At 46.3% G+C, this 26,882-nt stretch overlaps 1 protein-coding gene across 8 annotated transcripts in view, besides 2 other annotated features; it reads right to left on the reverse strand.

The window, feature by feature from the left end:
• Nucleotides 1-26,882, reverse strand: part of CCND3 (cyclin D3) — a 115,103-nt gene that overhangs the window by 16,208 nt on the left and 72,013 nt on the right. The gene's annotated exons all lie outside the window — the stretch shown is intronic.
• Nucleotides 9,760-9,957: a silencer, noted in NCBI's record as "fragment chr6:41928638-41928835 (GRCh37/hg19 assembly coordinates)". NCBI's record gives its function as "represses an EF-1alpha promoter that drives an FKBP-Casp9 reporter gene in an ReSE screen in HepG2 liver carcinoma cells {active_cell/tissue: HepG2}" and the evidence as "EXISTENCE:reporter gene assay evidence [ECO:0000049][PMID:32094911]".
• Nucleotides 13,833-14,343: an enhancer, noted in NCBI's record as "H3K27ac hESC enhancer chr6:41932711-41933221 (GRCh37/hg19 assembly coordinates)". NCBI's record gives its function as "activates a minimal SCP1, AML or CMV promoter by ChIP-STARR-seq in primed H9 embryonic stem cells {active_cell/tissue: H9 hESC(primed)}" and the evidence as "EXISTENCE:reporter gene assay evidence [ECO:0000049][PMID:30033119]".

Consider the following 26,882-nt stretch of genomic DNA (forward strand, 5'->3'; position numbering starts at 1 on the left):
GGTGGTTTGTGTGACAGGAAGGGTGGGCTGTCCTGGGACTGGTGGAGATTGGTGGTTCTGATCACCTGAATTCCATGAAACAGCCATGGTGAAAGAAATGGGATTGCAGGAGTTTAGAGATTAAGTGGGAGTAGGCCAGGCGCGGTGGCTCACGCCTGTAATCCCAGCACTTTGGGAGGCCAAGGTGGGTGGATCCGAAGTCAAGAGATCGAGACCAACCTGGCCAATATGGTGAAACCCCGTCTGTACTAAATATACAAAAAATTAGCCGGGCATGGTAGCAGGCGCCTGTAGTCCCAGCTACTCAGCTACTCGGGAGGCTGAGGCAGGAGAATGGCGTGAACCCGGGAGGCAGAGCTTGCAGTGAGCTGAGATCATGTCACTGCACTCCAGCCTGAGCGACACACACACACACACACACACACACACACACACAAAAAAAAAGATTAAGTGGGAGTAAGAAGAGAGAAGCAGGAAGAAGAGGGCATCCAAAGAAAGTTTAGGTGGGGGGTCAGGAGTAGTATGTCCCCAGTGTGGCACAACACCCCTGATAGCACACCAGAGCAATAATAGTAATAATACTATTAGGTAGTAATAATAATAGATCCCACTTATTTTTTATTTTTTTTATTTTCTGAGACAGAGTCTCGCTCTGTCGCCCAGGCTGGAGTGCAGTGGTGTGATCTCAGCTCACTGCAACCTCTGCCTCCCGGGTTCTAGCAATTCTCCTGCCTCAGCCTCCTAAGTAGCGGGGATTACAGGTGCTCGCCACCACACTCAGCTAGTTTTTTTTGTATTTTTAGTAGAGACGCGGTTTCACCATGTTGGCCAGGCTGGTCTTGAACTCCTGACCTCAGGTGATCCACCCGCCTCGGCCTCCCAACGTGCTGGGATTACAGGCATGAGCCACCACGCCCAGCCTAGATCCCACTTGTTAAGTGCTTTCTCCTAGCCAGGCACTGAGAGCTGTACCACACCTGTACTGTGAGGTAGAGGTGCTATTATTCTCCTTCCATTACAGATAGGAAAAAGAGAGATACAAAGGGATTAGGCAACACCCAGTGCCAGCCATACAGCTAGCAAAAGTCTGTCTCAATTTGGGCTTCCCAGAAGCAGACCTTGAGACAAGGATTCAAGTGAAATAATTTACCTGAGAGGCGATTCCATGAAGCAGCTAAAGCGGGTGGAGAAATGAGCAGGGAAGGGACAGAGGCCAGTGAAGACTGCGTTATTGTTAACCATGGTGGACAAATGGAGCTCAATCCTGCCTTGGAACTGGGAGACAATCAAAAGTGCGTGCTTGACAGCTATTGTACCTGAGGCGTGAGGGAGCAGGGAGACTTGTCTACCAATTCCCAACAGCCATTGTATGAGGGCTGCTTGGGGATGGAGGAGGAGTGGAATTAATTCCCCAGTACTTCCAGCCTTTTTGTGGGAGGGCGCGATGGACTCTGATAGTCAGAAGAAGCCCTCAAGCAAAGTGACAGTGTCAGCACTTGGAAGTGAGGCTGGTGCACTCTCGAATGGTAAGTGCCATGGACACCTGGGTGGAGACCAACTGCATGTGCTACAGTGGCAGAGCTGGGACTCCAACCAAGGCAATCAAATGCCAGAGCCCACGCTCTAAGCCCAAATAAATACACTGTGCTCATTTTAAAGTAGTGAGTGTGAGTGTGTGTGTGTGTGTGTGTGACATGAAACGTGGGATTTCATCAAGTTTCTTCTTAATGAATAATTGTTAATATAATATTACATAGACAATAGCAGAAGGGGCACAAGGATGTGGCAGTTGTCAGGGTGGCCAATGACAGGCATTGGGAATTGATGGAAGACAAATAAAACTGCAAAACAGGGGGTGCAGTGGCTTATGCCTGTAATCCCAGCACTTTGGGAGGCCGAGCCAGGCAGATCACCTGAGGTCGGGAGTTTAAGACCAGCCTGGCCGATATGGTGAAACCCTGTCTCTACTAAAAATACAAAAATTCGCCGGGCGTGATGGCTGTAATCCCAGCTACTTGGGAGGCTGAGGCAGGAGAATTGCTTGAACCCAGGAGGCGGAGGTTGCAGTGAGCCGAGATCGCGCCACTGCACTCCAGCCTGGGTGACAGAGTGAGACTCCCTCTCACAAAAAAAAAAAAAAAGGTGCAAAACATTGAGTCTGAAGACTTCGACTTGAGTCCCAGGACCTGGCTCTGTCCCAACTATATATACACAACTGGGCAAGTGCCTTGACTCTGGGAGCTTTTCTCAGCCTGTCAAAGGGGGATAACAAGACTACTTAGAGGGTGGCTCTAGGACTGGATGAGATAATGCATGAGTTAAAAAGCACTAAGTAAACTGCAGTAGTAGGTAAATCCAAGGGGTAATTATTTCAGTGCCCAAGGAATCTCATGGAGAACCAGTAAGAATGGGGATTCCCATTTTGCCCTTCCTTGTGTGACCCAACAGACCACTCCCACCTTCACCACTCCAGCCTCTCTGTTGTGAACAGAACCCAGGTTTTGTTGAGCTATCCGGTGGTCTTGTGTTTCAGGGGAGGTCAGGGACTCCCTGGTCTTGGAGGTTGAATCCAAGTTACTCCAAACCAAATCACGGTAATTCCACAAGTGGTTTAGGAATGGGCACTTGCTGTAATTCTGACCAATCAAATGTGGAGGTGGGTCTGCTAAGGGACTTCCATCAGTGGGGCACGGGAGGAAAACAGCTTCTTTCCTGCTTTGTGTGAGAATGGAGGAAGACATGGCACATTACTGAATACTTACTATGTGCCAGGCACTACTTTAAGAGTTTGAAAAAAAAATAAATCTCATTTAAAAAAAATTTTTGGTGGCCGGGGGCAGTGGCTCACGCCTTTAATCCCAGCACTTTGGGAGGCCAAGGCTGGTGGATCACTTGAGGCCAGGAGTTTGAGACCAGCCTGGCCAACATGGCAAAACCCCATCTCCACTAAAAATACAAAAATTAGCCCAGTGTGGTGGTGTGCACCTATAGTCCCAGCTACTCCAGAGGCTGAGGCAGGAGAATCACTTGAACCTGGGAGGCGGAGGTTGTGGTAAGCTGAGATTGCACCGCTGCACTCCAGCCTGGGGTACAGAGCAAGATTCTGCCTTAAAAAAAAAAAAAAAAAAAAAAAAAGGTGTGGTGGCTCATACCTGTAATCCCAGCACTTTGGGAGGCTGAGGCAGGCGAATCACGAGGTCAGGAGTTCAGACCAGCCTGGCCAACATGGTGAAACCCCATCTCTACTAAAAATACAAAAATTTAGCCGGGTGTTGTGGCGTGCGCCTGTAATCCCAGCCACTCGGGAGGCTGAGGCAGGAGAATTACTTGAACCCTGGAGGCGGAGGTTGCGGTGAGCGGAGAATAGCGCCATTGCACTCCAGCCTGGGTGACAGAGCAAGACTCTGTCTCAAAAAAAAAAAAAAAAAATTTTGTTTAGAGATGGAGGGGGCTTTACTGTGTTACCCAGGCTGGTCTTGAACTCCTGGCCTCCAGTGATCCTTCTGCTTCCACCTCCCAAAGTGCTAGGATTACAGACCTGAGCCATCGTGCCTAGCCTCATTCATTTAATCCACATAATATCAAACTTCTGAATTAAAGTATTATTATCCCATTTTACAGAGAGGTTAAGCAATTTACTCAATTGTCCTACAGTGATGGGCTTTGGAGCCAGGTTTGGCATGTAGAATCAACATGCTTAACCACTGTGCTGCGATGCCTGGAGCAGCTGCAGCCATCTTGCAATAATGAAAGAAGGAGCTGGCACCTGAGAATGACTGGAATGAATTTTCCTCCCTGATGATGTTATTAAGCTGCTGAATTAACCAATCCTGAACCACCTACCTCTGGACTTTTTGTGATGTGTGAAAGATATAAAATTTTCCTTATTGTTTAAGCTATGTTTACCCCTCAAGTTAAATATCTTTACTATCACTACTTTCTCTACTAACACCCACCTGATGGGGCAACCTTCAATAGCAAACAGGCAGCATTCTCCCAAACATTCAAGAAAGAAGTAATTTCAATCTTACACAAACGCTTTCAGAGAATATAAAGAGAGGTTCACTTCAAATCATTTTTAATATAATGATTCCAAAACCCAACAAGAACAATATGTGAAAAAAAATTACACTTATGAACATGGATGCAAAATCCTAAGCAAAATATTAGCAAACTGATTCCAGCCAATATGTAAAAAGGGTAATATGTTGTGATTAAGTTGACTGTATACCAAAGTGCATGGTTAGTTTATTATTTTGAAAAAAAACCAATATAATTGATCACACTAACAGATTAAAGAGGGAAAATCATATGACTACATCAACAGATACCAAAAAAGTGTTTGATAAAAGTCAACATCCATTCATAAGAAAAAACTCTTGGCAAAGCAGGGATAAGTGGGAACTTCCCTAGTCTTACATAGGATAGCTACTGAAACCCCACAGCAAACATCTTAGTGGTGACACATTAAAAGTAAACCAGGCAAGCCGGCATGGTGACCCTATCTCTACAAAAAAAAAAAAAAAAAATTAGCCAAACTGTAATCCCAGCACTTTGGGAGACTAAGGAGGCAGGAGGATTGCTCGAGGCCAGGAGTTTGAAACCAGCCTGGGCAACAAAGTAAGACCCTGTCTCTACAAAAAAAAATTAATTAATTAAAAATTAGCCAGGTATGGTGGTGCATGCCTGCAGTCTCAGCTACATGGGAGGCTGAGGCAGGAAAATTGCTTATGCCTAGGAGGTCAAGGCTGCAGTGAGGTGTGATTGCACCTGGGCAGCAGAGCGAAACCGTATCTCAGAAGAAAATAAAAAATTCAACTTGAGAAAGCTGATTGAATAAAAATTTTAAATATGTATATATTTAAATGTAGGGCCGGGCGTGGTGGCTCACGCCTATAATCCCAGCATTTTGGAAGGCGGAGGTGGGTGGATCACAAAGTCAGGAGTTCAAGACCAGCCTGGCCAACATGGTGAAACCCTGTCTCTACTAAAAATACAAAAATTAGCCGGGTGTGGTGGTGGGCCCCTGTAATCCTAGCTACTTGGGAAGTTGAGGCAGGAGAATCACTTGAACCCAGGAGGTGGAGGTTGCGGTGAGCCAAGATTGTGCCACTGCACCCCAGCCTGGGCGACAGAGCGAGACTCCTTCTCAAAAAAAATAAAATAAAATAAAATAAATAAATAAACATAAACCAGGAAAGTGCCAAACATGCCAGTTCAGTGGGCAGAACTAGGGCCTTTAGAAAGGGCTGGGAAAGACCATGAGGTGCTGGCTCCGCCTCCATTACCAACCTGGCCAGAACTTTCCTAGTACTAAGCAAGGCTGATCCTCAACGTTCTAAAGGTAGGCCATCATATTCCCACCCTGCTTGCAACTTACACATGTTTATGTATGGCACCATCTTTCTTTAGTCCTCAGATTTTAAACCCTTTACAGCAAAGAAGAATGGATTTCTCTGAGGAATCTGATAGCATGATCTAAATCTGATTGCCCTCTGCAAAACTGAAATTTATTTGAAGTCTAAATATTCTGCCTTAGAAACCTATATACATCTTGGATTCTGGCCCTTAAGATAGCCCTAATTGTTGTAATATAAAACAATGGTGGCCAGGCGCGGTGGCTCAAGCCTGTAATCCCAGCACTTTGGGAGGCTGAGGCGGGCGGATCACGAGGTGGGGAGATCGAGACCATCCTGGCTAACACAGTGAAACCCCGCCTCTACTAAAAATACAAAAAAAAATTAGCCGGGCGTGGTGGCAGGCGCCTGTATTCCCAGCTGCTGGGGAGGCTGAGGCAGGAGAATGGCATGAACCCGGGAGGCGGAACTTGCAGTGAGCCAAGATCGCACCACTGCACTCCAGCCTGGGCAACAGAATGAGACTCCGTCTCAAAACAAACAAACAAACAAACAAAAAACAATGGTTTAAGTTACTAAAGGAAAAGTTAACTCCACACAAACAACTGGCAGAAGGAGTTTTCCTAGGGGTTTTCAAATCCTCCGTTGAAAGGCTGGGCCTATATTACTGTTGCAAAAGCCTCCCAGAGAGCCTCATCTTCACATTGCTTCCAGATAGATCCAAATCAATGGCCCAAGGCCATCTGATTAATCTCTCACAGACACTCCTTTCGTCTTCAGTCCAAGGACCTGCTTATCAGGTTAAATTTAAAAGACAACCAGCCTGGTTTTCAAAATTGCCTTCAAGAAGAGGCCCCAGCAGCCCTAACCAATTTTATCTCAGCCCTAGCACTCCAGCCCACCTCTGGGCCTTATCACCCACCGCTGGCATCCTGCTTCTTTCTCCAAATCCAGCCTCTTCCCTTAAGGCCTAGCTCCTGGCCCATCTGTTCCATGAAGCTCGCAGGGTGTGGAATTGAAAGATCACAGAAATTTAGGGCCAGAAGGATCAATGTCGCTTAAGGGCACGCATCCACTTAATGGTTGTTGTAAAGTATTCTCCTTGTTTCCTGTGAATAAATCCTGTTTTCTCCCAAAAAAATGGAAATTCCTGAGGGTAGGCACCACATCTTTGTAGTTCCAAAGGTTAACCTGCTGGAAGAGGTACCCTGCATGAAGATGTGTGCTTTGATTCCTGCCTCTCTGCTCAGGCAATTCCCCTGTTTGGATAGTCTTTCCCAACCTGTTGTCAGCCATTCACAGTTCCAGATTCCTCTCATTGTAGGTTATTTGCTTTTTCATTTCTATTTATTTTTGTTTTTTAAAATTTTTTGCAGAGATGGGGTCTATGTTGTCCAAGCTGGTCTCGAACTCCTGGCCTCAAGCAATCCTCCTACCTCGGCTTCCCAAAGTGCTGGGATTACAGGTATGAGCCACCAAACTTTACCTTACTTTATCTTTATCTTTTTTTTTTTTTTTTGAGACAGAATCTCTCTGTCACCCAGACAGACAGACCAGTGATGCAATCTCAGCTCACTGCAACCTCCACCTCCTGGGTTCAAGTGATTCCCTGCCTCAGCCTCCTGAGTAGCTGGGACTACAGTTGCAAGCCACCATGCCCAGCTAATTTCTGTATTTTTAGTAGAGACGGGTTTTCACCATGTTGGCCAGGCTGGTCTTGAACTCCTGACTCCAAGTGATTCGCCCACCTTGGCCTCCCGAAGTGCTGGGATTACAGGTGTGAGCCACCATGCCTGGCCTACTTTTTCATTTTTAAATTGTCATTAGGGTTGTTACAGCATGGAGCAAAAAATATATATTTACATTTTTAGCAAAAAGCCATACTTCCCCCAAACTCGAAAACCCCTGCTAGGTGAGTCATTCTATTCTGTACAGTAGAATTTGTATTATTCATTCACTTGGTCCACAGAACTTTATTGAGATCCTATCAAACACAAGATATACCTGGGGCCACAAACAATACAAAGACAAATAAAACAGTTCTTTTCTCTTAAAGAGAATATAGTCTCCTGGGGGAATTTAGATGTGCTTTGCTTTCCTTCTTACTAATTTACCTTTACTTGATTATTTAATTGACTCAAGTATGTGGGTTTGGGGCTTTGACTCATCATGTGGCCAGAAAGTTCCCTGAAATCAGGAATTGAATCTTCTAATTTTTTTGGTATCTAGGTAGGGTAAGAATATGTTCCAGTTAATGTCAGTCTTATTGGCATATTTCTTAATGGTGCACCCTTTCACTCTCAGAAGCGTCTCAGTTCGGAAACAAGTGTTAGTCACAATGTGGAGAAACTAGAACATTCACACACTGCTGGTAAAAATGTAAAATGGTATCACTACTTCAGAAAACAGTTCTGCAGTTCCTCAAAATGTTCAATAGAGTTACCACCTAACCTAGCAATTCCACTTCTAGGTATACACCATGAAAAATAAAAACGTACATCCACACAAAAACTTGTATACAAATGTCAGAGGATCGGCCGGGCACGGTGGCTCACGCCTGTAATCCCAGCATTTTGGGAGGCCGAGGCTGGTGGATCACCTGAGGTCAGGAGTTCGAGACCAGCCTGACCAACATGGAGAAACCCCATCTCTACTAAAAATACGAAATTAGCTGGGAGTGATAGCGCATACCTGTAATCTCAGCTATTCGGGAGGCTGAGGCAGGAGAATGGCTCGAAACCAGGAGGCGGAGGTTGCGGTGAGCCGAGATTGCCTCATTGCACTCCAACCTGGGCAACAAGAGCAAAACTCCATCTCAAAATAAACAAAAAGCAAAACAAAACCAAACAAACAAATGTCAGAGGATCATTATTCATAATGGCCAAAAATGGAAATAACCCAGGCCAGGCGCAGTGGCTCACGCCTGTGAGCCAGGCCAGCACTTTGGGAGGCCAAGGTGGGCAGATCACAAGGTCAGGAGATTGAGACCATCCTGGCCAACATGGTGAAACCCCGTCTCTACTAAAAATACAAAAAATTAGCTGGGCGTGGTGGTGTGTGCCTGTAATCCCAGCTACTCGGGATGGGGGCTGAGGCAGGAGAATCACTTAAACCAGGGAGTCGGAGGTTGCAGTGAGCCGAGATTGCGCCACTGCACTCCAGCCTGGCGACACAGCAAGACTAAATCAGGCCAGGCGCGGTGGCTCACACCTGTAGTCCCAGCGCTTTGGGAGCCTGACCACGAGGTCAGGAGCTGGAGATCAGCCTGGTCAATATGGTGAAATCCTATCTCTACTAAAAATACAAAAATTAGCTGGGCATGGTGGCACGTGCCTGTAGTCCCAGCTGCTTGGGAGGCTGAGGCAGGAGAATCGCTTGAACCTAGGAGGCAGAGGTTGCAGTGAGCTGAGATCGCGACACTGCACTCCAACCTGGGCAACAGAGCGAGACTCCGTCTCAAAAAAAAAAAAAATGGAAACAACCCAACATTTGTGGACATATGAATAAATGAAATAATATGGCATATGCATACAGTGGAATATCATTTAGCCATAAAAAGGAGTGCAGTATTGATGCATGCTACAACACGGATGAGTCCTGAAACCATCACGGTAAAAGTGAAAGAAGCCACGTACAAAAGACCACATATTAATATGATTCCACTTATTTGGAACATCCAGAACAGGCAAATCTATAGAGACAGAAAGCAGATTCATGGTTGCCAGTGACTGGGTGGTGGTGATAATGGAGAGTGACTGCTAATGGGTCCCAAGTGTCTATTTTGGGGAGGATGAAAATGTTCTAAAATTAGATTATGGTAGTAGCTACATAGCTCTGTAAGCATGCTAAAAACTAAAAAGATTGTACTTTCGATAGGTGAATGCTATGGTATGTAACTTATAACTCAATAAAACTTTTTTATAAAGGATTCCAATTTGGATAATAAATTACATGGTCATCTTCTCTCCAGGGAGGCCTCTAACACGAGTGATTGAGAGCACGGGGGCTTTGAAGTTGACAAACCTGGGTGTGAATCCCACCTCTACCACTTGTGTGTGACCGGGGGAAATTATCTGATTCCTCATCTGCAAAATAGGGGAGTACTATCTACCTCAGAGGGCATGAAAAGTGCAAGGAGACCCCCAACCTCCATGTTGAAAGTGCTTAACTTTTAGTAGATATTTACATTGGCAAAAATCTGGTACATGGTGGATGGATGGACAGAGGGATGGATGGTGTAAGCTTGAAGCAACTCAAGATTCAGAGAGCAAATTATACCCATTCCTTCAAACAAGATGTTCTCCTTAAAAGGCTGGCCTCAACGTCCAAGCAAAGCAGGGGACCAAGATCACCACTGCCACCCATTCTGTTCAGTCATTCAATCCCCTTGCTAGTGTTCTGTGCCTCACAGGGCACAGCTCTAGGCTAAGCTTCCTGGAGAATAATGGGGGAGAACTCAGGATCTCCACTTTCAGGAGTTTCCCCTCAGCAGAGGGAAGCTGGTCATGTGCAGGGGAAGAGGACAGCACACACAAAGGCCAAGGAAAGAAGCACAGGCTGAGCAGAAGCAACCCTCGTTTCTGAGCAAACAATCCAGGGGAGGTCAACTCTGCTGTCTCCATGAGATGTGGGGACATCGGATGCTGAGCCCTGTCAAACAATCCCAGCAATGCCTTCATCAAAACAATCCTTGTGGCCGAGCGTGGTGGCTCACGCCTGTAATCCCAGCACTTTGGGAGGCTGAGGTAGGTGGATCATCTGAGGTCAGGAGTTCAAGACCAGCATGGCCAACAAAGCGTGGTGTCTCACACCTGTAATCCCAGCACTTTGGGAGGGTGAGGCAGGCAGATCACAAGGTCAGCAGTTTGAGACCAGCCTGGCCATCATGGTGAAACCTTATCTCTACTAAAAATACAAAAATTAGCTGGGCATGGTGGCAGGCGCCTGTAATCCCAGCTACTCGTGAGGCTGAGATGGGAGAATCGCTTGAAGCCAGGAGGCAGAGGTTGCAGTGAGCCGAGATAGCGCCACTGCACTCCAGCCTGGGTGACAGAGTGAGACTCTGTCTCAAAAAACAACAACAACAAAAACAACAACAACTAACAGTCCTCGCTTACGTTAGCCTTCCGAACTGCTCCTCCACAGCTCCTTCATTGCCTCCCTCTAGATAAGCCAAGTCCCTGTCTGCTCATACACCTCCTCTATTCCTTCAGCCTCAGCTTTGACATTGCTCCAGCTCTACCCTCCACCCCAAACTCCCAGCCCACATCCCCACCTGGATGTCACACCCGGTACCTCAAACTCAAGATGCTCAAATCCTGTCCCTGTCCCTTCTCTTGTGTATTGTGTGTCAGTTCACAGTGATCTGCTGAGTCACCCAAGCTGAAAATGCTGACATCATTCTTTCTCAGCTCCTCCTGCTCCTACAGTTTCCACATCAACCTGTAAGCAGGACCTGTCATCAATACTTCCAAAATGTCTCTGGAATCTGGTCCTTCCACTCAGTGCTCAGGTGCTCCCATCTAATACTTGGACTCCTGCAATAGCCTCTCTTCCACCAGTTACCATCTCTAACCTGTGCTCCCCACAACTGCCCAAGCAGTCTTTCTTTTTTTCTTTTGAGTTGGAGTTTCACTCTTGTCGCCCAGGCTGGAGTGTAGTGGCACGATATCGGCTCACTGCAACCTCCGCCTCCCAGGTTCAAGCGATTCTTCTGCCTCAGCCTCCCCAGTAGCTGGGATTACAGGTGCGTGCCACCACCCTGGCTAATTTTTATATTTTTAGTAGAGACAGGGTTTCACCATGTTGACCAGGCTGGTCTTGAACTCCTGACCTCAGGTGATCCACCTGCCTCGGCCTCGCAAAGTGTTGGGATTACAGGCATGAGCCACTGCGCCTGGCTGCCCAAGCAGTCTTTCAAAGACTTCAGGAATGCACATGTGCTTCTTTTGCTCCCCAAAACCTTAAAACCAGACTAGGCACAGTGGCTTACACCTGTAATCCCAGCACTTTGCAAGGCCAAGACAGGAGGATCGCTTGAGGCCAGGAGTTTGAGATCGGACTGCACAACCTAGCAAGACCCCGTCTCTACAAAAAAATTAAAAATTACCTAAATGTGGTGTGCACCTATAGTCCTATTTACTGAGGAGGCTTAGGTGGGAAGATTACTTGAGCCTGGGAGGCTGAGGTTGCAGTGAGCTGTGATCATGCTACTGCCCGCCAGCCTGCGTGACAAGAGTGAGATCCTGTCTCAAAAAAATAATTTTTTTTTGAGACGGAGTCTTACTCTGTTGCCCAGGCTGGAGCGCCATGGCGCAATCTTGGCTTACCACAACCTCCACCTCCCGGGTTCAAGCGATTCTCCTGTCTCAGCCTCCCAAGTAGCTGGGACTACAGGCGCGTGCCACCATATGCCCAGCTAATTTTTGTATTTTTAGTAGAGACGGGGTTTCACCATGTTGGCCAGGATGGTCTCAATCTCTTGCCCTCGTGATCTGCCCGCCTCGGCCTCCCAAAGTGCTGGGATTACAGGCATGAGCCACCACGCCTGGCCAAAAATAATTTTTTTAAAGGCTGCCATGACATGACCTAAATTCTCCGTCCAGCCTTATCTTTGCTTCCCCAACACACAGGCATCTACTCTCCAGGTCCCTGAGTGGCCCAGCATTGATGCTTTTGCTCAGCTCACACACTTCTTTCTGCCTAAAATCCTTCCCCAATCTCCACCTCTTGAAATGCTCCATGTCCTTCAAGGCCAACTCAAATATCACCTCTGCAAAGAGCCCCAGAGGTGGCTTGAAGGAAGCTCTTGAAGGAGCTTGAAGGAAGGTGTGATGTGAGACACACAGGTTGCCCACAGAGGCTACCCTAATTGCTGACTAGTAAAGGGGAATTTGCCTTGGCCAAGTCACACTATTTCAGGGTCTGGGTCTCAGCTTTACATAAGGAAAAGTGTGCTTTATTGAAGCTGCCTGAAGAGTACACACAATCTCACTGTCTCTAATACAGACCACAGAAATGAATACACAAAGCAGAAAAGCAGAGGCAACAAGTGAAGCTGGATACCAAGGCAGGCAATCAGCCATGCTGTCCTTGACACAGGAGGCCAAACTCCAATCAGAGGGGGAGGTGGTGAACGTGGAACCACTTGCTAAGGCAGCTACTGTGTCCCACAAAACATGGTAAAGAAGCATGGTTCAAGAGGTATGAGTCAAGAGTTACAGAACCTGGGTTTGAAACCTAGCTCTGCCACTTAGTCTGTGACTCTGGATAACTTACCTGGACTCCATCAAATGGAGGAAGAAACCATCAAATAGTCCCCTTTGAGCTGGCTGTTCCCTCTGCCTGGACCACTCTTTCCCTAGATCTCCACATAGCTCCTTTCCTCACTTCCCTCAGTCTCTGCTCCATTTTCACCTTTCCTGATCTTCTGAGATAAAACAGGGACTCTTCCCCCCACCTCTAGCACTGTCCATCATCTTTACCCTGCCATATCCCCAGTGCCTGGACCAGGGCCTAGCCAGAGGGAAGTAATCAATAAATATTAGTAGAATGGATGAATAAAGTATACCCACCCCACAGAGTTGTGAAGATGTTTTGAACTGAGCTTGACCCACAGTAAAGCTCCGTAAATGTTAAACCTTATTAGAAGAGCCTCCTGCTGAGAGCATGCCACATACCAGGCACCCAGAGATGCCCAAGAGGTATTGGGGGGTTAAGGGTTTCCCAGTCTTGTTGGAAAGACAGAAGCTTCAGGAGAGGAGCACTTCCTCCAGCGTGTGTATGTGTGTGTGTGTGAGTATGTGTGAATGTGTGTGAGTCTGTGTGTGTGAATGTGTGTGTGAATGTGTGTGAGTCTGTGTGTGTATGTGTGAATGTGTGTGAGTGTGTGTGTGCATGTGTGAATGTGTGTGTCTGTGTGTGAATGTGTTTGTGTGTATGTGTGAATGTGTGAGTCTGTGTGTGAGTGTGTGTGTGAGTGTGTGTGAATGTGTGTGTGTGAGTGTGTGTGTGTGTGAGTGTGTATGTGTGTGCATGCACATGCACACAGTCTTCTTCCAGGGAAGACAGCGATGCTGCTTACTGCTGCTTGAGCTGCATCCTGAGTGGGAACTAACTAGGTGAGGAGAGAGCATCTGGCCTATGTGGTTCAGCACTGCCAGCAGACCCAGCAGGTTGGGTGCATGACAGCAGGGTGGCAGGAGTCTGCAAGAGACCTGGACTTGTCCCCTAAAGGGAGCAGAGGGCTGTTACAGGGTTTCATCTGAACCACACCCTGAGTGCTAAGCATTAAGGTTTGGGAACCAGTAAGTAGAGAGCAGTTAAGAGGTTCTTGCAAGAACCTAGTGAGAAGTTCCAAGGGCAGCTTGTGAGAATAAAAGAAATGCAGGAGACAGAAATCACTGGAACTCAGTGACCCCTTTGTTGGTAGTGGAGGGATAGTCCAGGATGACTCTAGGATTTCTGGTTCTGGCAATTTCATGGAAGGTGTTTCTATTTCCTCTGATAGGAATCCAAGTGGAAGAACAGATTTGGGGAAAATGTTCTCTATTTCACGTTGCTTTTTTTTTTTTTTTTTTTTTTTTTTTTTGACAGAGTTTCGCTCTTTGTTGCCCAGGCTGGCGTGCAGTGGCACAATCTCAGCTCACTGCAACTTCCGCCTCCTGGGTTCAAGCAATTCTCCTGTCTCAGCATCCCGAGTAGCTGGGATTACAAACACCCACCATCACGCCTGGCTAATTTTTGTATTTTTAGTAGAGACGGGGTTTCACCATGTTGGTCAGGCTGGTCTCGAACTCCTGACCTCGTGATCCGCCTGCCCCGGCCTCCCAAAGTGCTGGGATTACAAGCGTGAGCCACCACACCCAGCAATAATAGGTAACTTCTAAGACCCATAGCCAGTAAGACGCCCAGCTAGGATGTGAACTCCAGTCCTGTCTGAGAACACCTCTCCCACTCCCCTGGATTGCCTTGATGCCTTGAGTCAGGACCTCAGGAGTGCACGCCTCTGGAAGTCCTTAGCACAGGCAGCTGTGCCCCGAAGTGGATGCAGTCATCCTGGGAATACGGGGAGAGTGGAATGCAAGGAACATCCACATTTAAGGGGTAGGTGGAGAAACGGAAGGAAACAGAACAGCCAGGAAGGTCAGGAGAAACCAGAAGCCACGGGAAAGAGTTAATACCAGATCACAATGCTGCCAGGGCCAGGAACCCTCCCTCAGCTCACAAAGTATCAGACTAACTGGCCCAAGCGCCCTCCCACCCCAAAGGACACATTCTTCCTTTTGATATGTTAATCGATGCCGTAGGGTTAAGGTCGAACTTTCACTAGCTCGGAGCCTTTGTGTCTCTTTAAATCCGCTTGCATATCTTTGTCTGACCCATTATGTACAGATTTTACAGTTTACATCTGAGTTAATTATCTTAATTTAAATTTCTGGGAAGATTCTTCCAGGCTGACCTCCTGCTGTATGGGATATGGCAAAATAACTTAGGCCTTTAGACTGAGAGCTTAATTAAAATATGGGCTGTGCTGTGTGACCTTGGCCAAATTACTTAAACCTCAGTGTTCCTGCCTGTAAAATGGGGATAATATAAATTGCATTTAGGGATGGTTATGAGAATAAGAGAAAATACCTAAGATGTCCAGTTTATAGTATGTGCTGTTATTATTATGTTTAGTGCTTGGCTTCAGGTCCTGATCACCTGGTAAGCTTGTTAATTCTGATGGCCACCTTCTGGGCAACACAGAGATATCCGAGCTCCACAAAAACTAAAATCAGCCAGATATGGTGGTGCATGCCTGTAGTCCCAGTTATAGGCTGAGGTGGGAGGATCCCTGGAGCCCAGGAGGTCGAGGCTGCAATGAGCCATAATTGCCACCACTACACTCTAGCCTGGGCGACAGTGAAACCCTGTCTCAAAAAAAAAAGAGAATTCTGATGGCCCTGTTATACTCCCAGAACTGAAAATCAGAATCTTAGGCATGGAGCCCAGGTTCTATATGTTTATCTCCAGGTGATTCCGAAACACATCCAGGGCTGAGAACCACAAGCACACCCTCCCCTCCCCACCGAACCAGGAATTATGTTCTCCTTCTGTTGTCTGTATATCTCCATACAGAATTTACCACAGTCTATCAGTAAACTGTCTCTTAGTTAGGCAGGTCTGTCTATCCCATAGCTAGAAATTCTGAGGGTCAGCTCCCTTCTAGACTGGATGTGGTTATTCCCAAATCAACCATCTACTGAGTCATGCCTCTTCATCCATTACAATAATCTCATTTTAGAGGGGAACCCAAGCTTTTTGATTTATTAATTTATTCACTCATTTGCAGTTGACCCCTTAAGCCCTCTACAGCATGAATAATTGAGAATTCACACAAATTCTGGGGTGAGACTAGAACAAATGGAAAGAGAAGTTTAACACAAGTTGACGCAAGTCTCTAGGTATTAATAACTGCTCCATAATTAATAATAATATAACAATAGTTATATAGCATGCTTTGTGTCAGGCCTTGTTTTAAGTGCCGGCTAACCATAGGTCGAAGGCTTCCTGGATTCCCTAGCAGAGGAATGAATGACATGAAAGGAAATTCCTCTAGGAAAAAAACAAAACAAAACATTTTTGAGGTTTTCTTTGTCTCACCTCTGGTTTCAGACCCATGGTTCCTTTGCTGAGTCATGGAGAACGGCATTTTGAAAGGGGGAAGGCGGAGGAGTGTCACCTTCCTATTCCCAGGGCAGCAGAGTCACCAAGGCTAGACAGCCACATTTTCATCCTACCCTAAGTCTCTTCAATGAATACATAATAATATTAATGAATGCTTGAATGAAAAATTAATAAGTAATTCAACAAGCACTTACTGATTCCCTCTGAAAGATTTGGAATCAAATATCCCTGGATTTGATTCCTACCTCTGTCACTTATGACACTGGGCAAGTGACTAAGCCTCGATTTCTTCATCTATAAAAGGAGCTGGGCCAGGACATATCAGCAAGTTCCTTCTCAACTCTCTAGTCCAGGCTTCTTAGACAATAACCTGCACATGAATCATTTGGAACTTTGGTAAATGCAGATGCTAATTCAACGCTTCCGGGTAGAGCCCGGGAATCTGCATTTCTATCCATCTCCCGCAGCAGCTGCTGGGACACACCTTGAGTAGTGAAGATCACACTTGGAGTCCACACTGAGGCAATTTTTAGCTGTTCTCACTCACAGACTTTCTTATCCATTGTATCAATTTTAGTGCGTCAAAGTGACTTGCAGAACCTGTTAACTATGCAGCTGCGTGATTCTTTCCCCAGTCCCCAGAATCAAAGTCTCAGACACACCCTGGTGGTTCTAACCCCCACTAATGTCCACATCCTTCAAGGTGGTTATTTATTTGCCTTCTCCAGCCTTCCCTTGAGTAGGCCAAATCATTCTAAATGCTTCAAATGTTTTTGCACCCAGGATTTTGTAATAAATTCCCTTTAAAAGGTCAGACATTTATGAGAAGGGAGTTTAATTATTAGTCTTTTCTGAATGTAAACCATCTTCATTCCAACTAAAGTGGTAGGAGAGGAGAAGCAGTATGGGGAAAGAGTAGAATTTCCTGCTGATTTGACACAAAATGCTGATATCAATGAAGATAACATTTAGCTAACAGCAAATGGGGTATAAAGTGTCATCAATTCAATGAATCACTGTGCACTGGAAAAAAATGCCCTAAAATCTCACAGCTCATATATGAAAGAAACTTTGATGTCCCAAATTTGACACTAATCCTAATATCTTTATGACATTACCAATAATGACTTCTGAAGCTGAAATAAGCTTTTCTGGACTATCAATAATAGAAAAAGTTTATAATCAATCATGCTAGAGGAATACTGGTTTTTTTAATTCTATGGAAAATATTACAAAATTATTATGATATGAAGATGCAGCTAAGAAGGATGCAGCCAAAAAACCTAGGAAAATCGGGCCTGTAATCCCAGTTACTTGGGAGGCTAAGGCAGGAGGATTGTTGAGCCCAGAAGTCCAAGCTATGATTACACCATGGTACTCCAGCCTGGGTGACAAAGCAAGACTCCATCTCTAAAAAACAAACAACAACAACAAAGACATAGGAAAAAAAGTATTATAGAGGAATGTCAAAGAGTTAACACAAATAGTATGTTACCTTTCTGGATTTTGAGATGTGTGTGATCTTGATGTTTCAGCTCTTTTTTCTAATACGTTGTGATTTCATTTCAAAATCTAAATATTCACTTTTGTATCTTTTATATCTGTGATTTTATAATGTTTCTGTATTGGTTTGTGTTTGTTTGTTTGTTTGTTTTGACACGGAGTCTCACTCTGTCACCCAGGCTGGAGTGCAGTGGTGCGATCTCTGCTCACTGCAACCTCCACCTCCTGGGTTCAAGCGATTCTCCTGCCTCAGCCTCCTGAGTAGCTGGGATTACAAGGGTGCCCAGCTAATTTTTGTATTTTTAGTAGAAACGGGGTTTTGCCCTGTTGGCCAGGCTGGTCTCAAACTCCTGACCTAAAGTGATCTGCCCGCCTCGGCCCCTCAAAGTGCTGGGATTACAGGTGTGAGCCACCATGCCCGGCCTCTGTATTGTTGTTTAAAGACGGCTCCCCAGATTACATAAGCTTTAGACCCCATAAAACTAGAATCTTCACGCCTGTAATCCCAGCACTTTGGGAGGCTGAGGTGAGTGGATCACGAGGTCAAGAGATCAAGACTGGGCCAGGCACAGTGGCTTATGCCTGCAATCCCAGCACTTTGGGAGGCCCAGGCGGGCGGATCACGAGGTCAAGAGATTGAGACCATCCTGGCCAACCAACATGGTGCAACCCCATCTCTACTAAAAATACAAAAATTAGCTGGGCATAGTGGCGCACGCCTGTAATCCCAGCTACTCGGGAGGCTGAGGTGGGAGAATGGCTTGAACCTGGGAGATAGAGGTTGAATTGAGCCAAGAATGTGCCACTGCACTCCAGCCCGGGTGACAGAGTGAGACTCGGACTCAAAAAAAAACAAGAGATCAAGACCATCCTGGCCAACACGGTGAAACCCCGTCTCCACTAAAAATACAAAAATTAGCTGGGCGTGGTGGCACGCACCTGTAGTCCCAGTTACTAGGGAGACTGAGGCAGGAGAATCGCTTGAACCCGGGAGGTGGAGGTTGCAGTGAGCCGAGATGGCACCACTGCACTCCTGCCTAGTGACCGAGTGAGACTCCATCTCAAAAAACAAACAAACAAACAAAAAAAGCAAAACAGAATTTACCCTGGGTATACTTGAAAGCATATGAACTTTGGTGTCACATCTGGGCTTAAATCACAGATCTACCACTTGCTTCTTGTGTGCTGTGTGGCCTGAGAAAAGTTACTTAATCTCCCTGAACCTCAGTTGTTTGCTCTAAAATGGAATGGTGAGCTGGGCATGGTGGTGAACGCCTGTAGTCCCAGCTACTTGGGCGGCTTAGCTGGAACTGCTTAAGCCCAGGAGTTCAAGTCCAGCCTAAGCAACATAGCAGGACCTCGTATCTAAGAAAAATAAAATAAAATAGGCCAGGCGCGGTGGCTCACTCCTGTAATCTCAGCATTTTGGGAGACCAAGGCGGGTGGATCACGAGGTCAAGAGATTGAGACCATCTTGGCCAACATGGTGAAACCCCATCTCTACAAAAAATACAAAATTTAGCTGGGCGTGGTGGCACGTGCCTGTAGTCCCAGCTGCTTGGGAGGCTGAGGCAGGAGAATCGCTTGAACCCAGGAGGCGGAGGTTGGAGTGAGCCAAGATCGCGCCACTGCACTCCAGCCTGGTGACAGAGCGAGACTCCGTCTCAAAAATAAAAATAAAATAAAATAAATAAAATAAAAATAAAAAACAAAATGGGATGGTAATATCTATCTTGCAGGCTTGTCTTGAGAATTAAATAAGATGCTGAATGCAAAGTGCCAATTTTGTGGCCATCTTAATAAGCCTGTGGTGAGAAGACAATTGAGACAGTGAGAGGTTCATTTGAGGTCACATAGCAGAGTGAATGTCCTTTAGAAAGAATCTGGATTTGAAGTTTATATTAACAACCTCACTTCCTCTCAATCTCCCATCCCTTTCAAAACAGGAAGTAAACAGCAAGCCTGTATTATGGAAGTAAATCTAACCCATCCTTCCCTCTTCACCAAAGACAAGTCATAGAGACGTCCCCACACACTACACCCATGCGCTTCCACGTGGGGAAAGTCGAATGGGTGCCCAACTGACAGTGCCTGTGAGAAATAATGAATCAGATGCAATTGAGAAATACTTGGCCTTTTGGTTTTCTTTTGAAATCATCTATTTGGTTACCAGTTTTGTGTTCTGTTTTTTTTCCACCAACTCAACCCCAAAATTCTCTTTTTTCCACAAACTTGCTCCAGTTTCTTTTTTTTTTCCCCCCCTTGAGACAGAGTCTTGCTCTGTCACCAAGGCGGGAGTGCAGTGGCGCGATCTTGACTTACTGCAACCACCACCTTACAGGTTCAAACGATTCTCCTGCCGCAGCCTCCCGAGTAGCTGGGATTACAGGTGCATGCCACCATGCCCAGCTAATTTTCGTATTTTTAGTAAAGACGGGGTTTCACCATGTTGGCCAGGCTGGTCTCGAACTCCTGACCTCAGGTGATCCACCAGCCTCGGCATCCCAAAGTGTTGGGATTACAGGCATGAGCCATCGCGCCCAGCCTCCAGTTTCTTTAGAAGCATTATTTCATTTCATTCTCACAGTGGCTCTAGATGATAAGTATTTAGTTTTTCAGTTTTGTTTTGCTTTTAGAGACAGGGTGTAACTACGTTGCCTAGACTGGACTTGAACTCCTGGGCTCAAGTGATCCTCCCATCCTCCCGCCTCAGCCTCTGAGTAGCTGGGACTACAGGTACCTGCCACTGAGCCTGGCTCCAAGATGATAATTATGTATTTATAATCCCCATTTTGTGGATAAGGAAACAGAGGCTGAGAGAGGTGGAGTACCTTACCTGGATATGAATCCAGGTCTGCCTGGTGTCAGAACCCAGGTTCTTTTTTTTTTGAGATAGAGTCTCGTTCTGTCGCCAGGCTGGAGTTCAGTGGCATGATCTTGGCTCACTGCAACCTCCACCTCCCAGGTTCAAGCAATTCTCCTGCCTCAGCCTCTCGAGTAGCTGCAACTATAGGCGCTCCACCACGCCCAGCTAATTTTTGTATTTCTAATAGAGACGGGGTTTCGCCGTGTTGGCCAAGATGGTCTCGATCTCTTGACGTCATGATCCGCCCGCCTCGGCCTCCCAAAGTGCTGGGATTACAGGTGTGAGCCACCGCACCCGGCCTTCCTTTTTCTTTATTTTTGGTGTGATCACACATTGCATTTACTTGTCGTATCTCCTTAGTCTCATTTGCCCCAATTTTAAAATAAGGTAGAAAAGAGATACTTCCGGCCGGGCGCAGTGGCTCACGCCTGTAATCCCAGCACTTTGGGAGGCCAAGACGGGCGGATCACGAGGTCAGGAGATCGAGACCATCCTGGCTAACATGGTGAAACCCCGTCTCTACTAAAAAAATACAAAAAAATTAGCTGGGCGTGGTGGCGGGCGCCTATAGTCCCAGCCATGCGGGAGGCTGAGGCAGGAGAATGGCGTGAACCTGGGAGGTGGAGCTTGCAGTGAGCCAAGATCGCGCCACTGCACTGCAGCCTGGGCAACAGAGCGAGACTCCATCTCAAAAAAAAAAAAAAAAAGAAAAGAAAAGAAAAGAGATACTTCCAGAATCCTTTGCAGTTCTAACATTCTGTAAGTGAGCCCATTCTGTATACACATAATTCAGCTAACTGAATGTGTTCTTGCTGATTTTTCTGAAGATTTTCCCCTAGAGCTACAACGTCCTCTGCTTATACTACATCATGAAGGCTGCAAAGAATATGTGGTGGTAAACATGATGTGGCCATGGAGTTTAGATAGCCTTGGCTCTGAATCCCAGCTCCATCAAGCCCCGGTTATGTGACCTTGGACACATAACCAGGCTTCACCTCTTAAAGCCTCCTTTTCCTCCTTTATAAAATGGTGGTTGCATAAAGGTTCCCATCACCTAAAGCTGTTGTGACAGAGATGGCGCCTGGAAAGTGCACAGTACTGTGCTGAGGACTCAGCATTACTACGTTTGATAGCCTCACGCCTCCTTGTCTGTTTTGGGTCTGAATGTAGAATTTGAGGGGGTAACATCAAAGGGAGACTGAGGTGCAGTGGCTCATGGCTGTAATCCTAGCCCTTTGGAAGGCTGAGATGGGAGGATCGCTTGATCTCAGAAGTTCAAGACCAGCCTGGGCAACAGAGTGAAACCCCATCTCTACAAAAAATTTACATATATATATATATATTTAAAAATTAAAAATATATATATATATGACTGAGTTGGAGAGGGGCAGAAGGGGCAAGGGACATGGGATGGCCAGATGGTGTGATTCCAGATGAATGCACATGGCTAAGCTGGGGAAGAGAACAGCTTTCCTCTCTGCCCAACCCCACCCATGTGTGTCTGGGTAATGTCAATGAGACGTTGGGCTGGAAAATGGTAGAGAACACTAAAATATCCAAAGGGGGAATTACAGTTATTTCTGAAATGCATCCCCAAATTTTCTGTCTCAGCAGGCAATGACAAATCCCTGGGGTAAAACACAGTCTGTTCTTCCCTTCTCTCTAACACCCGCACAATTCCTAATCAGAATTTCATTCTCCACTTAAGCAGTCAATCCAAAGCCTCCAATTCTTCCAGCTTCTGAAAGTTCAGCTCATCTGCCCTAAATCCTTTAAAATAAACAAACTGATAAGCCAAACAACATTCCTGCCATTTCTCTTTTTTAAAATCTTAGCATTTTATAATAGTTTAAAAATGGAAACAATCAAAATATCCAACCATAGAGGACTCATTAAATAATTATAACCTTATAATAGAATATTGCTCTATAATAGAAAATTGTACTATGTTATATAGACTACTGTACTATAATGTTCCATATTATGATTGAATATTAAAAGCAACCATGGATGTAGAATGGAGTAGTGGTTATCACTGTAAATCCTGGAGTTGGACTGACCTGGGTTTGATTCCCAGATCCACCACCTACCAGCTGCATGACCTTGACAAGTCTTGCTCTGCCTTAGTTGTGCATTGGAAAAATGACAATAATAATAAAAAGCCCTGATTTCACTGTCAGATTTTCTGCCTGGTTTAAATCCTGGTTCGGTCACTTTCTAATAGCTGTACAATCATGGACAGTTAATTAGGCTTTCTGTTGCTCAGTCTTCTCATGTATAAACAGGATATACCACACAGGGTTTTCTCCTGGGTGAGAATTAAAAGAGATAACACATGTAAAACCCTTAAAACAGTGCCTAGTGGGCGGGCGCAGTGGCTCACGCCTGTAATCCCAACACTTTGGGAGGCTGAGGTGGGTGGATCACCTGAGGTCAAGACTTCGAGACCATCCTGGCCAACATGGCAAAAACCCATCTCTACTAAAAATTCCAAAATTAGCCGGGTGTGGTGGTGTGCACCTGTAGTCCCAGCTACTCGGGAGGCTGAGGCAGGGGAATCGCTTGAACCCGGGAGGTGGAGGTTGCAGTGAGCTGAGACTGTGCCATTGCACTCTAGCCTGGGTAACAGAGCAAGACTCTGTCTCGAAGAAACAAAACAAAACAAAACAAGAACAGTGCCTAGCACAACTCATGTGATACTATCATTCGTGCACCCATACCCCACTTCCAACTCCACGAGTGATTTCTAAATATAAACACACATCCAAGTCACTTAGAGTGCACCATCTTGAAAAGGAACACCTGTGCTACACCAGATGTATAACATCAGCATGCATCCATCTCAGGTGGGCTTTCTGGCAGGGGGTATCATCATCATCATTAAGAACTGGGTAACCAGGTGCCAGCCCCCTCCCCTCTAATAGAAGTAGCTGGGGGTTGCTAGGGCTCACTCAGTGTACAGTGAGCCCGTGATGGTGCATTCTGCCTTTGAACTTGACTGGAAACCCACAGCTGTCTGCAGAGGGCTCCTGATGGAGGGTCCCAAGTGCCCATGCTATTACTCAACAACAGCCCAACTTAGCCGGGTCACAGAGAGGCAGCCACCTGTTGAACCCACAGCACCGTTCAGTTCCCATCTTAGTTCTTCCTCTGGGTAAACTCTGACACTATTATCAATTTAACCCCAAAAGGGGGATGGGGCGGGTGGCCAATCTGGTATTTCTCTTAAGCCTAACTGTCAATTCCCCACAGTTCTTTTTTTTTTTTTTTTTTGAGACGGAGTCTAGCCCTGTTGCCCAGGCTGGAGTACAATGGCGCCATCTTGGCTCACTGCAACCTCCGCCTCCCAGGTTCAAGCGATTCTCCTGCCTCAGCCTCCCGAGTAGGTGGGATTACAGGCGCCTGCCACCACGCCCAGCTAATTTTTGTATTTTTTAGTAGAGACAGGGTTTCACTGTGTTGGCCAGGCTCGTCTCAAACTCCTGACCTCATGATCCACCTGCCTCGGCCTCCCAAAATGCTGGGATTACAAGCGTGAGCCACCGTGCCTGGCCCCCACAGTTCTTGGCTTCCAACAGAATTAGGGTAATTCATATGGTACATTATACTTTTCAAAGAGTTTATACATACATGATTGTCATAATTTACATGTATATAATGCTTAACTATTTTAGAAAGCACTTTCTCTTCCACTAACTGATTCATCTTCACAAGAACACTGTGAGCTTCGAGTTGGAGAAACTCCAGCAAGGGAGAGGTGAAACCGTGGAGATGGGTGTTGCCTATGGAGGTTGGCTCTGTGGCTGCATGGGTGGTGCAACCCAAGCGAGGGTATCTCATTCCCAGGCCCACCTCCTCAGCCTCACAGGCTCCAAAATATAAGCTGGCAATACATCCAGAGTGGCCCTACTCCCAGGCTGGACTCATGGTAACCAGCACCCTAAGACAGTGGCACACCCCCACGGCCACATCTAAACAGATGGTGGTAAACAGAGGTGCTGGGGGCCTCGGCTGGCACATTATCTTACTGTAGGATCTTCCCCAGGGGTAGTCAGTGGGGAATCCCAAGGGGACTTACTTGGTGGGTGATGGAGAATTAAGGGAGGCAGCCAAAGGGTTCCAGGGACTCACTGGGAGTAGTGAAAATTTCCAGGCCACGCCAGGCTACCTCTCCACTCACTGACTTCTTGCTTGCTTGACTTTTTTTTTTTTTTTTTAAGTATCGAGGGCTAATGAACATTTCTTCCTAGATATGTGAATTTTGTGGGCTAGTGACAACCAAGCCTTGATTGGAAGCCATTCTGTTTTTGTCTGTTTTTTTTGAGACAGGGTTTTGCTTTATCACTGAGGCTGGAGTGTGGTGGCCTGATCATGGCTCACTGCAGCCTCGAACTCTCAGGCTCAAGCAGTCCTCCCAGATCCTCAGAGGGTTGAGTCAGGAGGATCACTTGAGCCCAAAAGTTCAAGACCAAGCCTGGGCAACATACCAAGACTCTGTCTCTATAAAAAAAAATTTTAAATTAGCTGGGTCTGGCCGGGCGCTGTGGCTCACACCTGTAATCCCAGCACTTTGGGAGGCTGAGGTGGGCGGATCACCTGAGGTCAGGAGTTAAAGACCAGCCTGGCCAACATGGTGAAACCATGTCTCCACTAAAAATACAAAAATTAGCTGGGCATGGTGGCACACACCTGTAGTCCCAGCTACTCAGGAGGCTGAGGCAGAAGAATCGCTTGAACCTGGGAGGTGGAGGTTGCAGCGAGCTGAGATCTCACCACTGCACTCCAGCCTGGGCGACAGAGCAAGACTCTGTCAAAAAAAGAAAAAAAAAATTAGCTGGGTGTGATAACACACACCTGTTATTCCAGATACTCTGGGGCTTGAGATAGGAGGATGGCTTGAGCCCAGGAGTGTGTTGCAAGCCTGTGCAACACAGCGAGACCACCATCTCCATGAAAACTTCAAAAATTAGCCAGGTGTGGTGGCACACACCTGTAGTCTCAGAAACTTGGGGACTTGAAGCGGGAGGATTGCTTGAGCTGAGGAGGTCAAGGCTACCGTGAGCCGTGATTGAGCCAGTCTGGGTGACAGAGGAAGACCCCCATCACTAAAAATAAAAACGGTCTCAGTCACTGTGGCTTTTAGATGCATTATTCTTACTCCCATTTTATATATGAAGAAATTGAGGCTTTGATAAGTTGTGATAACAAAACTGTCTTTGATATATGAAGGATATCAGACTATAAGCTCCTGGGGGCTAGATACCCCCAGACTCACCTCAATGACGCCTCCTGGCCCACAGCACACAGCACAGAGCTTTCCCATCAGCGTACACTTGCTAATTTGAATGGAAGGATGCTTGAGGCTGCTGTTTGTTCAGGGTCATAGGGCAGCAGTCCCTAAACCAGACTGACTCACTGCCAGGAGTGTATATGCAAAGAACCGTACAACAGTTGTAGCAGCAGAGCTGTGCTGATCCGCCTACATCTTTTACCCACTCTCCTATCCAAAAGCTCGCGTTTGTTGAATGACTCATTGGCATAAGGAATCCAGCCTGCAGCCCTGAGAGAATCTCAGGGTCAGAAAGGGGTCTCAGAGGCACCTAATTCAACCTAACCAAAATATTCATTTTCCCCACAACCATACTTCCCAGAAATTTACATTTCAAAGACCAATAAAATTTCCCCCAAAATTTTGAGACCAAAAAGTAAGGTTGTTGCCAAGTAAGGTTATGAGAGAAAAAACCCATAGTCTATATATACTGCATTTCATAAAATAAAGAATGCCTGAACACCAAACCGTTGAGGAAGGCTCAGAACAAATAACTGTACTTTATTTTTTTCTTTTTTGAGACAGAGTCTGGCTCTGTTGCCCAGACTAGAATGCAATGGTGCTATCTCGTCTCACTACAACCTCCACCTCCCAGGTTCAGGCGATTCTCCTGCCTCAGCCTCCAAAGTAGCTGGGATTACAGGCACCTGCCACGATGCCCAGCTAATTTTTGTATTTTTAGTAGAGACGGGGTTTCACCAGGTTGGCCAGGCTGGTCTCAAACTACTGACCTCAGGTGATCCACCCACCTAGGCCTCCCAAAGTGTTAGGATTACAGGCGCGAACCACCATGCCCAGCCAACTGTACTTTAAATGGAATGCATTTTCTTATATGAAAAATTCAGTGCATTATCTGGTGGACACTAATTTGGAACCACAGTCCTTTACCAGCCTCCCGAATCGACCATGAAGCCCTTGTTTGAACTTCTTCAATGATGGAGAGCTAAAGGTTTTTGAAACAGCCCAATTATTTTCAAAAACTCTAACCTCCCAGCCTGGCCAACATTGTGAAACCACATCTTTACTAAAAGTACAAAGATTAGCTGGGCATGGCAGCACCAGCCTGTAGTCCCAGCTACTTGGGAGGCTGAGGTGGGAGGATCACTTGAGCTCAGGAGGCAGAGGTTGCAGCAAGCCGAGATTATGCCACTGCACT

The sequence above is a fragment of the Homo sapiens genome, chromosome 6 (assembly GCF_000001405.40).
Source record: "Homo sapiens chromosome 6, GRCh38.p14 Primary Assembly".
In the NCBI taxonomy this organism is placed as follows: domain Eukaryota; kingdom Metazoa; phylum Chordata; class Mammalia; order Primates; family Hominidae; genus Homo; species Homo sapiens.